Source organism: Homo sapiens, chromosome 2 (assembly GCF_000001405.40).
Source record: "Homo sapiens chromosome 2, GRCh38.p14 Primary Assembly".
NCBI classification, from domain to species: Eukaryota; Metazoa; Chordata; class Mammalia; order Primates; family Hominidae; genus Homo; species Homo sapiens.
Genome location: NC_000002.12, coordinates 223,540,020 through 223,554,980, shown reverse-complemented (window position 1 = coordinate 223,554,980; position 14,961 = coordinate 223,540,020). Strand labels below are relative to the sequence as shown.

The window sequence follows — 14,961 nt, the reverse complement described above, 5'->3', positions numbered from 1 at the left end:
CATTCCCAACTCTTCCCATTTAATCTTCCTATTTCCAAAGCGATGAAGCTGTGCCAGAGCTAATGGCTTCCTACGAAGTGCTGCAGCAGCAATTGCTTCCTCAGAGACAAAGCTGTTGGTGGAGACTTGAAGTGGATCTTTTCTGAACTCTTAGCTATATCAAGGAGAAGGCGGAGGTATACATCTCCCAGCACACTTGAAATGTGCCGTACGTGTCTACCCATAGCCTGGGTGGATGTGTACATGTGAAGAATAATCTTGCAAAAGGGCTTTGTGCAAAAATAAGGAAACGGGGGATGAGAAGTCACTGGCTGCTAGGTGGCCTTATCTATGCCAGCCGTTCCATGGATCAAGTATCAAGCCACTGGGAAGGGACAGCAGGCACAACCACGCCATCCTTAGAGGTCCAGCAGCAAGGAAAAATGAGATGAATCAACCATAGCTAGGTTCTCAGAGGAACAAAGACAGCTACCATAAGCAAAGGGTGGCTAAAGAAAACTAAAAGATGGCAGAGGTTGACATGATATCTGAAAGAATGCCAGGGAAAGAAAACAGATGGATGCCAGGTGGTGACAAGGATAACGCAGACACCAGGACAGTGAGGCACAATCCAAAATAGCAGGAAAAAGATGGTTTCTTCTGAAAACAAAACAAAGCATAAAACAGAGGTGGCGTGGTTCCACAGTCACCTTATCTGAAGTCTAGAAACGAGGAATGAGAAAAGTAAACACGTGGGACTGGCACGTGGTATCCTGTTAGCATCTCTTTCCAACTCTGCATTCAGTGGTGGCAGGTTGGTAGCTTGAAATCGACCACAGTGAGGGTATTTACACCACAGTAATCAGTAAATGTTACAAATCAGGGCTCTCCCACTCCAGAGTTGGTGGTTAAACTTTTACCAGCACACCATGGTGGCAGGGAGGAAGATTAGGTTCAGTGAGACGGCTGAATACCGACGTGGAGGGAAAGAAGACCTGTTAAGTGATGACGATTCCTAAGAGGATGTGGGTGAAGTAGAACATTCAATGTCCCTGGGAGAGAAGCAGGGGCTGCCCTTCTCTGAGGCTAAGCCCAAACCTCCAACTCCTTCTGTCACATCCTAAATCGGAGGGCTGAGCTGGAGACAACCAGGGGAACAGAGCCAAGTCCAGCTCTGAGCATGTTGCTTGCCCATCAAATTTCACTGAATTCCCACTTTGAAGCTCACAAAGTACTGACGGTAGGGCACAGGCTGAATATTGGTTAGAAGATTACTTTCCAGGGAAAATCAGGCTCCAAGTGAAAACTTTCATGAAAAAAATTATTTATTCTTTGAAGCCAGACTAAATGCTGATGTTCTGTTGAGAGTTTTATTTTGACCTTTTTTTTAAAAAAAAAACAAAAACGAAAAACTATCCATCAGCAATGAAGAGCTTTCTTTTTTCATAGCAAAAGCAGTCTGATAAACAGGACTTTAAATGAAGAAGGAAAAGATCAGTTGAATGCGTATCACTTGCAGAAACAGCAAAACAAAACACCAAAGCAAGTAGTTAGAAGCTCTTCTTTTTACAGGAGTTTTGGAAGCTAGTTGCCCAAGGGGGTGAACTAATATATGCCTCAATGGCATAGATTTATCCACAATTCACTTGGAGCATTCCCCCAAATCTAATCTTTATGAATGATCACCATTTAAATTTGGATAGCAGAACGCAAAGTCGTTGGTTCTCATGAAATTGTATGCTCTATGGTGGTGTTGCCTCATTTGCCTTCTTCATTGCTGTATCCCCGGCTCTTTGTACAGTAGTGACTTGCACAAAGTAGGCACCCAATAAATATGTGCTGAATGAGCCAATAGGTTAAGGAGGTTTTCCAGGCTGGAGTTTGACATCAATTGTCTGTGTTTCCCAACTTCAGGGGCATGTGTCAAATGCTCTTGGTAGTCCCACTGAAACTCTTCTCTCTAGATTTAAGGTGATAGACAAAGACTCCCCTTACAGCTCCCTAATGGAGAGGGACACAGGAAATTAGTAGCTTTCGAGCAACACTCGTCTGAAATCCTCCCTCAATCTCCAGTGTTCTAGCCCTTTTTCCCTCCTTATTATGGATGAAAGGTTTAAAAGATGGCTGATCTGGATCATTGAATTAGAAAGTTTAGCAGTGTGGTCTCCTTTGAATTTAATGTTTTCCTGCCTCAGCTGAAACTGACACAGAAACAGTCTCATTATAACATCCTCTTAGGTAATATCTTAGAAATTTAATTTGCATTTCTCTGAGTGGATTGAACACTAAAAAATATTGATAGGATTTGTGTGGGTGTGTGTATGTGTATGTGTTTGTGTGGATCACATCCTTGCTCAAATTTTGTGTTTTTTCACTTATTGATTTGTAAAAGCTCTTTGTATATTAAGGAATAAGCTCTTTGTCTTATGTCCAGAAGGTACGGAAACTGTATTTTATTCGTGTATTCCCAGACATATATGCTGCACAGATGAATGCACAAATTAGTAAGTATTAGAAATATCTTTCCACAGGGAGACTTTCATACAATTCTCCTTCATTGGCATCATAAAACCAGGGTAATAGGGCTATTGGCAATGTGAAAATAGAGATAAAGCCTGTATGTACATTTGAATCAATAATCATTTACAACACTCACAAGACAAACATGGACCTTCTGGTTGCCTTTAGTATCAATAAAGGCAAATTCAACTGACACATGAACATATAGATTTTTTTTTTTTTTGAGATGGAGTCTCTCTCTGTTGCCCAGGCTGGAGTGCAGTGGTGCGATCTTGGCTCACTTCAACCTCTGCCTCCCAGGTTCAAGCAATTCTCCTGTCTCAGCCTCCCAAGTAGCTGAGAATACAGATGCACACCACCACACCTGGCTAATTTTTGCATTTTTAGTAGAGACAGGGGTTTCACCATATTGGACTTGAACTCCTGACCTCAGGTGATCCACTTGCCTCGACCTCCCAAAGTTCTGGGCTTACAGGCATGAGCAACTGCATCCAGACTTAGACTTTTCATAATTTGACTTAGTTTGAAAAAGTGTGGAGAAGGAGAGCCTTCCTCGAACAAATACAGAATATTATTATTAGTACTAGCTGCCATTATTGAGCGCATGTTCTGTGCCAGACACAATGCTAAATGCTGTACATAAATAACAAAGAAACTCTACTTTGGAACTTCCCTTATCAGTAAACTGGTTCCTTTCTTGTTCCCCATGCACTTTTATGGCCTCAGAGAAGTGGGCCTGTTGGATGCCACTACCAGAAGAAGGATATAACATTGCAACGTCCCTTCCAGACAAAGAAAAGAGCCTGTGTGAAGACAGCATTGTTGGAAAACAACAAACGTTTGTGTTTTTTTTTTATTTGTTTGTTTTGTGTGGACATCTTTTTTTATTTTTAAAAAACTTTAATTTTAAGTTTGGGGTCTAATGCAAGTTTGCTGCCTAGATAAACTTGTGTTACGGGGGTTTGTTGTACAGATTATTTCATCACCCAGGTATTAAGCCTAGTACACATTAGTTATTTTTTCCTGATCCTCTCCCTCCTCCCATCCTCCACCTTCCAAACGGCCGCAGTGTGTCTGTGTCTTGTTCCCTACCATGTGTCCATGTGTTCTTATCATTCAGCTCCCACTTATAAGTGAGAACATGTTGGTATTTGGTTTTCTGTTTCTTTGTTAGTTTGCTAGGGATAATGGCCTCCAGCTCCATCCATGACCCTGCAAAGGACATGATCTCATTCCTTTTTATGGCTGCATAGTATTCTGTGGTGTATACGAACCACATTTTATTTATCCAGTCTGTTATTGATGGGAATTGAGGTTGATTCCATGTCTTTGTTATTGTGAATAGTAGTGCTGCAATGAACATACACGGGCATGTATCTTTATAATATAATAATTTATATTCCTCTGGGTATATACCCAGTAATGGGATTGCTGGGTCGAATGGTATTCCTGTGTTTAGGTCTTTGAGGAATTGCCACACTGTCTTCCACAATGGATGAACTAATTTACACTCCCACCGACAGTGTATAAGCATTCTTTTTTTTTCTCCACCATCTCACCAGCATCTGTTATTTTTTGACTTTTTAATAATAGTCATTCTGGCTGGTGTGAAATGGTATCTCATTGTTGTTTTGATTTGCATTTCTTTAAAGATCAGTGATGCTGAGCTTTTTTCATATGATTACAACAAATGTTTTGATACCTCTTTTTGAACCAAAGTTCCAGGGAGGGCCAGAGTAAGGAGAGTGTTATTGCAGAACGAGATATATTGGAAACAATGGTTCTGATCCCATTCCCTCTTTGAAACCCTGAGAGACAACTGCTAATGCTATTGGCTCCAGTGTTCAGGGGAGTGATAGCATAAAAAGGGAGTAGAGAGGTGGCCACACGTGCTAGCTCTGTTGAGCTGCACTTATCTCCAGTGGGATATCAAGGGACCCAGCAGTTCCTAAAAGCCTTTTCTGGTGGCAGAAAGGAGAGTAGCTAAGAATTCTCTGGGGGTAGAATTGCCAGGGACAGGGAAAGACAGGAGTCCTGGCACACCTGCACACTGAATTGGGACCCAGTGGGCAAGGCAAGTCTTGATCGAGCCAAATAAATAGATCATCATTGTGTCAGCTGCTGGCTTGAGCAGTGGGCAGCATAGAATGACCACTCCCAACCAGGTACAACCCTGTCACTTGGACCTTCACAGAACCCAGGCCAGGGCAGAACCAGACCAGCCAGCCACTCTGCAGTAGAGATCAGTGAATACCAGAGTTGGCACCTGGAGTTGTATCCCTTTTCCCTGCTACCGTTAAGTCATCCTAGTAATCCTCCTTGCAGAAGAGAAGTAGGGTGGAAGATTTGACGAGGTGAATGTGTACATGAAATACGCTGTGTTACCCCAAGGATACTCTTAACTGGAAGGAATTGAGAGCTCTTAAACGGCAGAGTTCAGGGTTTTGTTGTTTGTGTTGTTTCTTTTTTCTACTCTTGGTGGGTTGGGTGGGAATTCTTAGGGAGAAGATGTCATCAGTTAGAAATAAGAACTAATTTTTCTCAGTACATTGACTAGGGGGCCAGAATACTTATTTGCAACTCTAGTACCTATCAAGTACCTCATTTAAATTTTTACCAAAAAAATTTTTACCTGGGTGTCTAACAAATGAGGACACTGAAATTTAGTGAGAGTAAGTGATTTTTCCTATGGCCCTTCACTGAACCAGGTGGTGAAACCTATATCCAAATAAAACTTGGAATTTGGAGTCTTAAGCCCTATAGTATTAATATTTTGTTAACTGTTAGATGAAGCATTGCAACAGTAGGAAATCCCTTTCTTAAGTTTTGGGGTGCTTTCAGGGTTAGCATGGTAGGAGCAGAGAACCCAGAAATGGTCTGTTCAGCTTAGAGTGAATGTTCTGAGCTTGAGATCCATTGCTGATGCGGCACTGCACTGTGGGGTTATGAATTGCTTCTGGCTTGGCATCAAAGCGGAAATGCGTGGGAATGCACACTGGGTTGGCTGGGCTCCTGCCCTGGGTGAATGTGGTGCAGATGGTCCTACTGAGGATGAAAAGCCCGGTGGAGAGATGTTCAATAGGTTAATTGTGCACGTTCTTGGATGAGTCAGCCTGTAATTGCTGATACCAATATGTTCGGCGTTGCTGCCTCAGGGGCTTGGTGTGTGAGTCAGATGATGGAAATGAGGATAAAGTTGGCCTTGTTTCCTGAAATCTTAGAAACCGAATAATAAGTTTTTGAACTTGGTATGTGATCAAAATCACTTTGGGAGAAAGATGAAAAGACAGAATGAAAAACTTGTGAGTAATATTTCTCTATGCATTGTGAAGGTAATGGAATTGAGCAGCTAATTATAATGTAACTGGCTATTAGTCTTTATGAAGGTGAATGCAATCAGCCTAACCTAATTTTAAATCTTAATTCTCCTTCCCCAAGCCATATTTTCTATTCACAGCCTCAGAATGCACCTTAGAAAGCCAAGGAAGTCCTTAAGACTGTATGTAATTGCATAGGTCAATGGTTGCAGAAAAGGTGGGTAAATTCAACCTGCTGATATTTTGCGTTTGTCTGACATGAATTTTTTTGTCCTTTTGATTTAATTTTACTTTTTGAATATGTGATTCAAAAGGTGTACTCATAGAATTCTCATTTCTATCCCTATTCCCCTGACCCTGTTGCTACTCAGCCCTGTAAGTAACAATTTTCATTTGTTTTATCAGTTTTTAAAATATATATACACAAAAGTATCATATTATGCCATGTGCACTGTTTTGCATCTTATGCTTATAACTTTGCAATATATACGGAATTTTGAAATTCATTCCATACCCATTCATGAAGCTCTTTCTCATTCTTTTTTATAGCTGCAAAGTACCCCATTGTGAGGATGAACCATAGTTTATTCAATAGGTCTCTAGTTGTTGAATATTTGGATGGTTTTCAATCTTTTACAGCTATCAATGATGCCTACGTGAATAACTTTGTGCCTATGTTGTTTCCTTTTGTGGGAAATAGTTTCAGGTAGGTTTCTAGAAATGGGATTGCTAGGTCATAGGATAAAAATGCATATAATTTTGTAAGATATTTGCAATTGTCCAGCTTAGATTTGTACGATTTTGTACATTCACCAGGAATGACCATAGTGTCTGCTACCTCACGACCTTGCCAGCAGCATGTTTTCTCAAGCATTTGGTTTTCGTCAATCTGTAAGTGAGACATGGTATTTCGGTGTTGTACTTTGCATTTGTTTTATTATGAGAAAAATTGAGCCTCTTTTCTTGCTTACATGTCAATTCGTATGTGTCTTTTTTTCTGAACTATGTGTTCAAGTCTTTTTTCATTTTTTAGGTGCAATGTAATTAATTTTTACTTGTTTATTTTTAATTTTTAAAACAGCTTTATTGAGGTATAATTGGTACATAAAAATGCACATACTTAATGTGTACATAAAAATTGACGAGTTTAGGCTGGGCATGGTAGCCCATGGCTGTAATGCCAGCAGTTTGGGAGGCCAAGGCAGGTGGATCACTTGAGGTCAAGAGTTTGAGACCAGCGCAGACAACATGGTGAAACCCTGTCTCTATTAAAAGAGAGACGGGCTAAAGATTAGCTGGATGTGGTGGTGCATGCCTGTAGTCCAGCTACTCAGGAGGCTGAGGCAAGAGAATCACTTGAACCCTGGAGGCAGAGGTTGCAGTGAGCCAAGATCACCCCACTGCACTCCAGCCTGGGCCACAGAGCAAGGCTCTGTCTCAAAAAAAAAAAATTGATGAGTTTAGATGTATGTAAACATCCCTGATACCGTCAACTACAATCAAGGTAATAGACACATCCAACATCTATCTCCCAAAGTTTCCCTATGTCCTTTTGTTTTGTTTTGTTTTTGTAAGAACACATAACATGAGATCCATTCTCCTAACAAATTTTGATGTGCACAAACAATATTGTCAACTACAGCATTGTACTGTACAGGAGATCTCTAGAACTTATTCATCTAGCATAACAGAGACTAGAGCCATTGAACAGCATCTCCTCATCTCCCCTTCTCCCCAGCTCCTGGCAAGCAGCATTCTACTCTCTGCTTCTATGAGTGTGACTATTTTAGATGCTTCATATAATAGGAAATATGCAGTATTTGTCCTTCTTTGACTGGTCTTGTTTTAGTTAGCATAATATCATCTAGATTCATCCATGTTGTCTCAAATGGAAGAATTTCCTTATTGTTTAAGTCTGATTAATTTCATTGTATGTCTATACCACATTTTCTGTATTCATTCTTTCATTCATTCATTCATTCATTCATAGACATTTGGGTTGTTTCCATGTACTGGCTATTGTGAATAATGCTGCCATGAACTTGGGAGTGCAGTTATCTCTCTGAGATAAAAATTTTATTTCCTTCAGACATATAACTGGCAGTGGAATTACTGGATGGTCATTCTTTTTTTAATTTTTTTGAGAAATTGGAACCCTTGTGCACAGTTGATGGAAATGTAAATGCTGCAGCTGTGGACAACAATACAGAGCTTCCCCTTTTGTCCATTTTTGTATTAGGTTTTTGGTGCTTCTTTTTTCTTATTTTTAGGGACTTATTTACAAATTAACAAGGTTAGTACTTTGTCTAACCAAATTTGTCTAAGCAAATATTTTCTCCCAGTTTATAATTTACCTTCCTACTTTTCTGACAGCATTTTTCTCCATGCAAAAAGTTTTATTTTACACTGCTGTAGTTGAATGTATCAATCTTTTTCTTTCTATTTGTGTACTTTCTATTTCATTTAATTGGGCCCCAGGACCACTCTGTTTTAATTATGCAGCCTGCATACTGAGTTTTAATCTGGCAGAATTCGTCTCTACTCATTTCTCCTTTTTAGGGTTTTCCTAGATTTTCTCGAATGGTTAAAATGCATGTAATCTTTACAATCAACTTATTTAGTTCCAGAAAAGCAAACGCCTTAGTTTTTAAAATTGGGGTCTCATTAAATTTATATAATGGGAAGTCCTGACAAGTTTATGATGTTGAATTGTTTTGTTCAAGAATAAGGATGTTTTTGCATTTATCCCAATCTAATTTTGTCTTTTGGGGGAAATATTTGAAAGCCTTCTTCATTTGACTGTTTCAAATTTTTCATCTTTTCTTTTTTTGCATGTGTGGTTATAAATAGGGTTATGTTCTAGCTGATTAAAGTTTGTATATATAAGATTACTAATTTTTGTATGCTGGTATTCTATCTTTCTAGCTTACTAATTTTTTTTCTGTTTTTACTAATTTTAGCATTGATACTCTTGGCCTTTTTTTCCAGGGCACTATTTCATCATCTGCAAACATAGATAGTGTAATGTCTTCTTTTCTAATTTCTGTGCCTGCAATTGCCACAGAGTGTTTATTTATTGATATTTGAATTGCTTTCTGTGGTAGAGCATATGCTCTCCATCTGCCTTATCTCTTCCACTGCCTCCTGTTCCTCTCAGCCTGCTTCATTCATTTACGTGGCTTGCGTGGCTCCTGAAGGCATTGAAATTCATGACCCCTGTCAAAGGTTCACAACACTGACCTAACCTGAACAGCTGCTGCTGCCCTTATGGTGCAGTTCTTTCATTCTATTGGAGGTTAGTTTGGTCAGCATGATGAGGATGGGTCAGCCCCATAGACTTGAATTGGTTTGGAGAAACTATTTACTGTACTCTTTTGGGATGGATACCCCAGAAAAGCAGAGAAGGAATCCAGAATTGAAGTCAGAGATGTTAGGTGCAAAGGTCATGCTAAAAGGAGCAAGAACAAGATAATAAACAGAAACAGTCGTGAGTAAGGACCCAGAAAAGGGTAGATCAATATAGGATCAGGCCAGAAATGTGTAGAATGATTTCATTACTCATGGGTAGATGTATGTACCTTACTTTTACGAGGCAGTGGATGCCTGGGTATTTGGGCTTATAGGGCTGACTAAGAGTCTCAAGATCAAAACAGATAATAGTGGTCACAACAAATTTTTAATATTGAGTTGTAAAAGGGTTCTAGGATTTTTTTTCCAGGTTGTTTGTTGAGAAGGGCAAGGGCATAGTATCTGCCCTTTTGATCAGCACCATCTACAACTTTCTGTAATGAAAGAAATGTTTTATAGTCTGCATTGTCCAGTGAGGTAGTCACTAGCCCCATGAGGCTACAGAGCACCTGAAATGCAGCTAGTGCAACTGAGGACCTGAATCTCTAACTCTATTTAATTTTAATTAATTTAAATTTAAATGATGTGGCTAGTGGCTACTGTATTACACACAGCAACCCTAGAATCTTTAAAAGGACAAAGGGTACAAATGCATGGCAGAGGGTGCCTGTGACTTCAGTTTTGTGTCAACCACATTCAACATGCATCATAACACAACAGTGACCTCTCATTTGTAATAGATTTGTAACAAAATGTAATAATAATGTAATATAATCGTAATTTATAATAGAGTTTAATAATTTACATTTTATAAGGCTCTCCCATAGTTAGCTTATGTTACACTGAAATGACTCTGTGAATGATGATAATCCATGTTCATAGACAAGGAAAGGAGTTAAAAAATAATGACAGAATTTATCTAAAGCTGTGAAAATTATTAGTTTCAAATGTGTGCCTTGAATTCCAGGTTTAATCTTCATTCCATTAACATAAAAATGCACTTGCTAGCTCCAAAAATAGTCATTGGCCAGGTACGGTGGCTCACACCTGTAATCCCAGCACTTTGGGAGGCCGAGGCAGGTGGATCACAAGGCCAGGAGATCAAGACCATCCTGGCCAACATGGCGAAACCTCATCTCTACTAAAAATACAAAAAAATTAGCCAGGTGTGGTGATGCGCACCTGTAGTCCCAGCTACTTGGGGGGCTGAGGCAGGGGGACTGCTTGAACCCAGGAGGCGGAGGTTGCAGCAAGCCAAGATCATGCCACTGCACTCCAGCCTGGTGATAGAGCAAGACTCTGTCTCAAAAAAAAAAAAAAGTCATTAAAAAATGTTAGTTTTATAACACTAAGCACACATTTGCCGTATGGCCTGGAAATCCCTTGCCTGTATATTTACCCAAGAGAAATAAAGCCACATATTCACACAGAAACCTGTACATGAATATTTACAGCAGCTTTAGTCACAATTGCTAAAAACTGGAATGAACCCAAGTGTCGTCTGATTACCAAATGGGAAAATAAATGGTGGTACGTACACATAATGAAGTACTATTTGGCAATAAAAAAGATCTATTGATACATGCAACCTCATGGAGAAATTTCAAATGCATTATGCTAAGTGATAGAAACCAGACTCAAAAAGTTACATGCCTTTTGATTCCATTGATCAGATTTGAAACTATAAGCTATAGTTTTGGTTTTTCCAGAATATCAGATTCCAAGCCGAAACTATAGGGAAATAGAACAGATCAGTGGTTTACAGAGGCTGGGGGTAGGGCTGACTACAAAAGGAGCATGAGAATATTTTAGTGGTTAATGAAAATGCACTATATCTTTATTATGGTGATGATTATTTGACTATATGCATGTTATTAAACCCAGAAGTATTCACTAAATTGAGTGAATTTTATTGCAAAATATACCTCAATAAACCCTTACATATTTGGGCTTATTGAGCTTTGTATGCATATATGTATACGCCTTCTTTCCTTCCATTGGAGGTTAGTTTGGTCAGCGTGATGAGGATAGGTGAGCAACATAACCTTGAATTGGTTTGGAGAAACTGACTATTTACTGTACTCATTTTCACTGTACACAATTTCATACATTTCTTTCACTGATTCTAGAAGCCATGTACACATTGGCCGGATAACCTTTTATTTTGCACAGAAATTGACGCTAATCTCAATGCATATATGTATATGCAAACAAAGCTCAATAAACAAAATAGATAAATATATATATGCATACGAACCTCAGTAAACAAAATAGATACAAAATATCTGTATAATATGTTAGAACTGTATCCTTGGCTGGTGGGAAAGGGGGAAGAAGATTTGACCGGACATGCTCAGGACTGTAGTAATGGATCAGGAGCAGTTGGCCAGCAATCTAAAAAGTGATAACTAAAGAGATGTAATCAGATTTCTGAGAAATTGATCAGGTGGGTTGTGGGCTTAGCACGGGACCTCCAGGGCAGTGAGAACACGTTGGTGGAAACTTCTGAAGGGGGGAGCAGGAATAGCTACAGTTGTTGGCTAAAATAGGATACAACCAGCATTAGGGACCATTAGAACAGTGTCTGACCCTATGGATCCTACCTGTCTCATTCACTACTGAATCCTCAGCCCCTAGCTGAATGCCGGGCATTAGTTGGTGCTCACTATAGGAACCACCTCACTATGAATTAAGGATATCGAAATATCATGTTGTACACCTTACATATATGTAGTGAAAATAATTGTTGAAAGAAGAAATAAATTATCTTAGAAAGTGGATAGGACTGAGTTAGTTGGTTGCAGCTTATGGTCAGAAGCTGGCAGGGCTGAGTAGGAAGGGTCTGAGGAACTCCTATAATTGTAATTCCAGTTACCTCAATTGGTGAGCTCTTTAGACTGGGACGTTTATTCTGGCTCTCTATGCCAAAAACCAAGCATGATGGCAAAAGGCTGGAATAGCATTTGGTTCCATCATGTTCCTGTTTATGTAACCAGTACTTGTTTCTCAAGTTTTCACACACAGAAGCTGTTCCTCTCAAGACTGGGGTGTTTTGCAGAGGGGTTTCTGTCCTTCCAAATATGCGCTCATCTTCCCGCTGGTGTTCATCGTGTTTGCTAAGACAGTTTCTATGGCAAAGGCCCACCAGCCAAGTGATAATTACATACAGTAAATATTTCAAACAGATAAACTTGACATAGAAGCAGCTGCTTCTCACCAAACACAAGGCAGGAGTGTGTGATCTGAGCGGCATTTTGCACCTCCGTTCCTGGAACGCGATGGCTGGCTTTTGCTGTTGGCCTTTGTGGCCAAAAAGATCTGAAATCCATCCACAGTGTATATACATTTAGGAATATTCTGAAGTACTGAAAGTAGTATAGAAGATATTTTATAAAATGGAAGGTTAGCAGACATGTTACAATAAAAAGATGATTTTGGAATCAGCTGGAGTCCTGCTACTGATTGCTTGTAAAGTGATATTCCTGTTAGATTTTATATATATTTTTAAGCTGTTACAGGAAAGAAATGTGGGCAGGCTTAGCTTGGCTTGATGGCTTATCATGAAGACCGAAGGTTAGCTTCTTTCTACGTCGCACAGGGACCTTAAAACCTTTTGAACGATTTTTTTTGTTTGTTTTTGACAGGACTGGTCATCATTCACTCTTTAGAGGCACACACATGCCTACCTATTTCCTACCTATTTTTCTTTATGAAATAGAAATTGCAGTCTTCACCTGCCAATTTCATACATTTCTTTCATTGATTCTGGAAACCATGTACACATTGGCCAGATAACCTTTTTATTTTGCACAGAAATTGAAGCTAATCTCAATTAACATTTAAAGCATGGAACTTAAATGTTTAAGTACTCAGGCCTTATGATCTCCTCAGCTGTGGCTTGTTCACACTAAGCCAAATCTCACCTTCTCTCCAATATCTTTCTTTACAGTATTGAGAGAGAAGTTGCTTTCCTTGTTTTACGGTTTCTTAAGGAGTTTCCATCTAGTAATGCCTGAGGCCTCCTGTTTTCCCCTTTGTCTTCCTTCCAGAGAACTATGCTTTACCCGCAGCTGTATGAGGATATAAAGAGCAATTGCTGAAGTGCAGAGCTCTCCAGCTCATGGTAAAGATCACATGTGTCCTCTCTTCCTTCATTCCTTTAAAATCAACAAATGCTTTTGAAGATCAACTATGTGCAAAAACAACAGTGGTAGGGGTTACAGCAGGCAAAGGCATCTACAGTGGTTTATAGTGAATCCATGCTCCATCAAATTTGGAAAAATGCTGCAAGCATTTAGCCCAGTTTTTTAATTCTTCCAGGATTTCTATAACTTCCCAGGTTCACTTCAGCCTTCTCTAATACTATATTATGAGACAAAATGCATGGCTGTGTGTGCATGGATGCATGCCAAACTACATTTTGAGTAGAGTATCCAGGGAAATTGGGACTTGTAGTTTTATTTCAGACATGTCTCTGATTTTGGTGTTAAATAATTAATGGATATCTACACTAGAAAACACAGTGCAGATATTTAGAATGAAGATGCAAATGTATATTTAATAACATGAAAAGATGTACATGTGTGTTAGGCCATTCTTGCATTGCTATAAAGAGATAGCCGAGGCTAGGTAATTTATAAAGAAAAGAGGCTTAATTGGCTTATAGTTCTGTAGGTTGTACCAGAAGCATGGCACTGGCATCTGCTTGGCTTCTGGTGAGGCCTCAGGAAACTTAAATCATGGTGGAGGGTGAAGGGGGAGTAGGCATCTCACACGGCAGAGTGGGAGCAAGAAGAGGGGAGAGGGGAAGTGCCACACACTTTTAAACAACCAGCTCTCATGAGAACTCACTCAGTATCTGGAGGACAGCACCAGGTGGTTGGCGCTAAACCATTCATGAGATGTCTACCCCCATGATTCAATCACCTCCCATCACACCCTGCCTCCAACACTGGGGATTACATTTCAACATGAGGTTTAGTACATTTCAAACTACACCAACATACTTCATTGTTGAGTGAAGAAAAGCAAATTACAAAATATTTAATACATTTCAAGATGATTCCCTTTGTGAAAAGAATATAAGTAGGTGTATACACATTTATAGGTTTATAGGTACAAGTATATATTGACTAAAGAAAGTCCAGAAGATTATAGCTAAAGCATGAATGATGTGATTACTGATAGGTAGCATCACAGAAGATTAAGCTCTCATTGACTTTTTTTCCCCAAGTAATTTCTATAAGAAACATGTGGTCTTGTGTATAGAGGCATAACCAATAAAAATGGTTAAAGTAAAGGAACATGCAATGGTGTGAGAGGGATTCCATGCCACTGTCAGTCTTTGCACACATGAGTCCTCCTCGGGACACTTTCCCTCAAGGAAATAAAGAGACTGGCATTTGGAAACTTGATTTTCTTTCTCTCTTTCTTCTTTCTTTCTTTTCCTTCTTTCTTTCTCTCTTTTCTTTTCATTTCTTTCCTTCCTTCCTTCCTTCTCTTTTCTTTTTTTTCTCCTTCCTTCCTTCCTTCCTTCTTTCTTTTCTCTTTTCTTTTCTTTTCTTTCTTTTCTTTCTGATGGAGTATTGCTCTTTCTCCCAGGCTGGAGTGCAGTGGTGCGATCTCGGCTCACTGCAATCTCCAACTCCCAGGTTCAAGTGATTCTTCTGCCTCAGCCTCCCAAGTAGCTGGGATTACTGGCACTCACCACCACCCTTGGTTAATTTTTTTTTGTATTTTTAGTAGAGACAGGGTTTCCTCATATTAGCTAGGCTGGTTTCAAACTCCTGACCTCAAG

At 39.5% G+C, this 14,961-nt stretch overlaps 1 annotated feature.

Moving 5' to 3' along the window:
- Positions 5,142-6,341: an enhancer, noted in NCBI's record as "MED14-independent group 3 enhancer chr2:224413358-224414557 (GRCh37/hg19 assembly coordinates)". NCBI's record gives its function as "activates an origin of replication core promoter dependent on BRD2, BRD4, P300/CBP and CDK7 cofactors, and independent of MED14, by STARR-seq in HCT116 cells {active_cell/tissue: HCT116}" and the evidence as "EXISTENCE:reporter gene assay evidence [ECO:0000049][PMID:35650434]".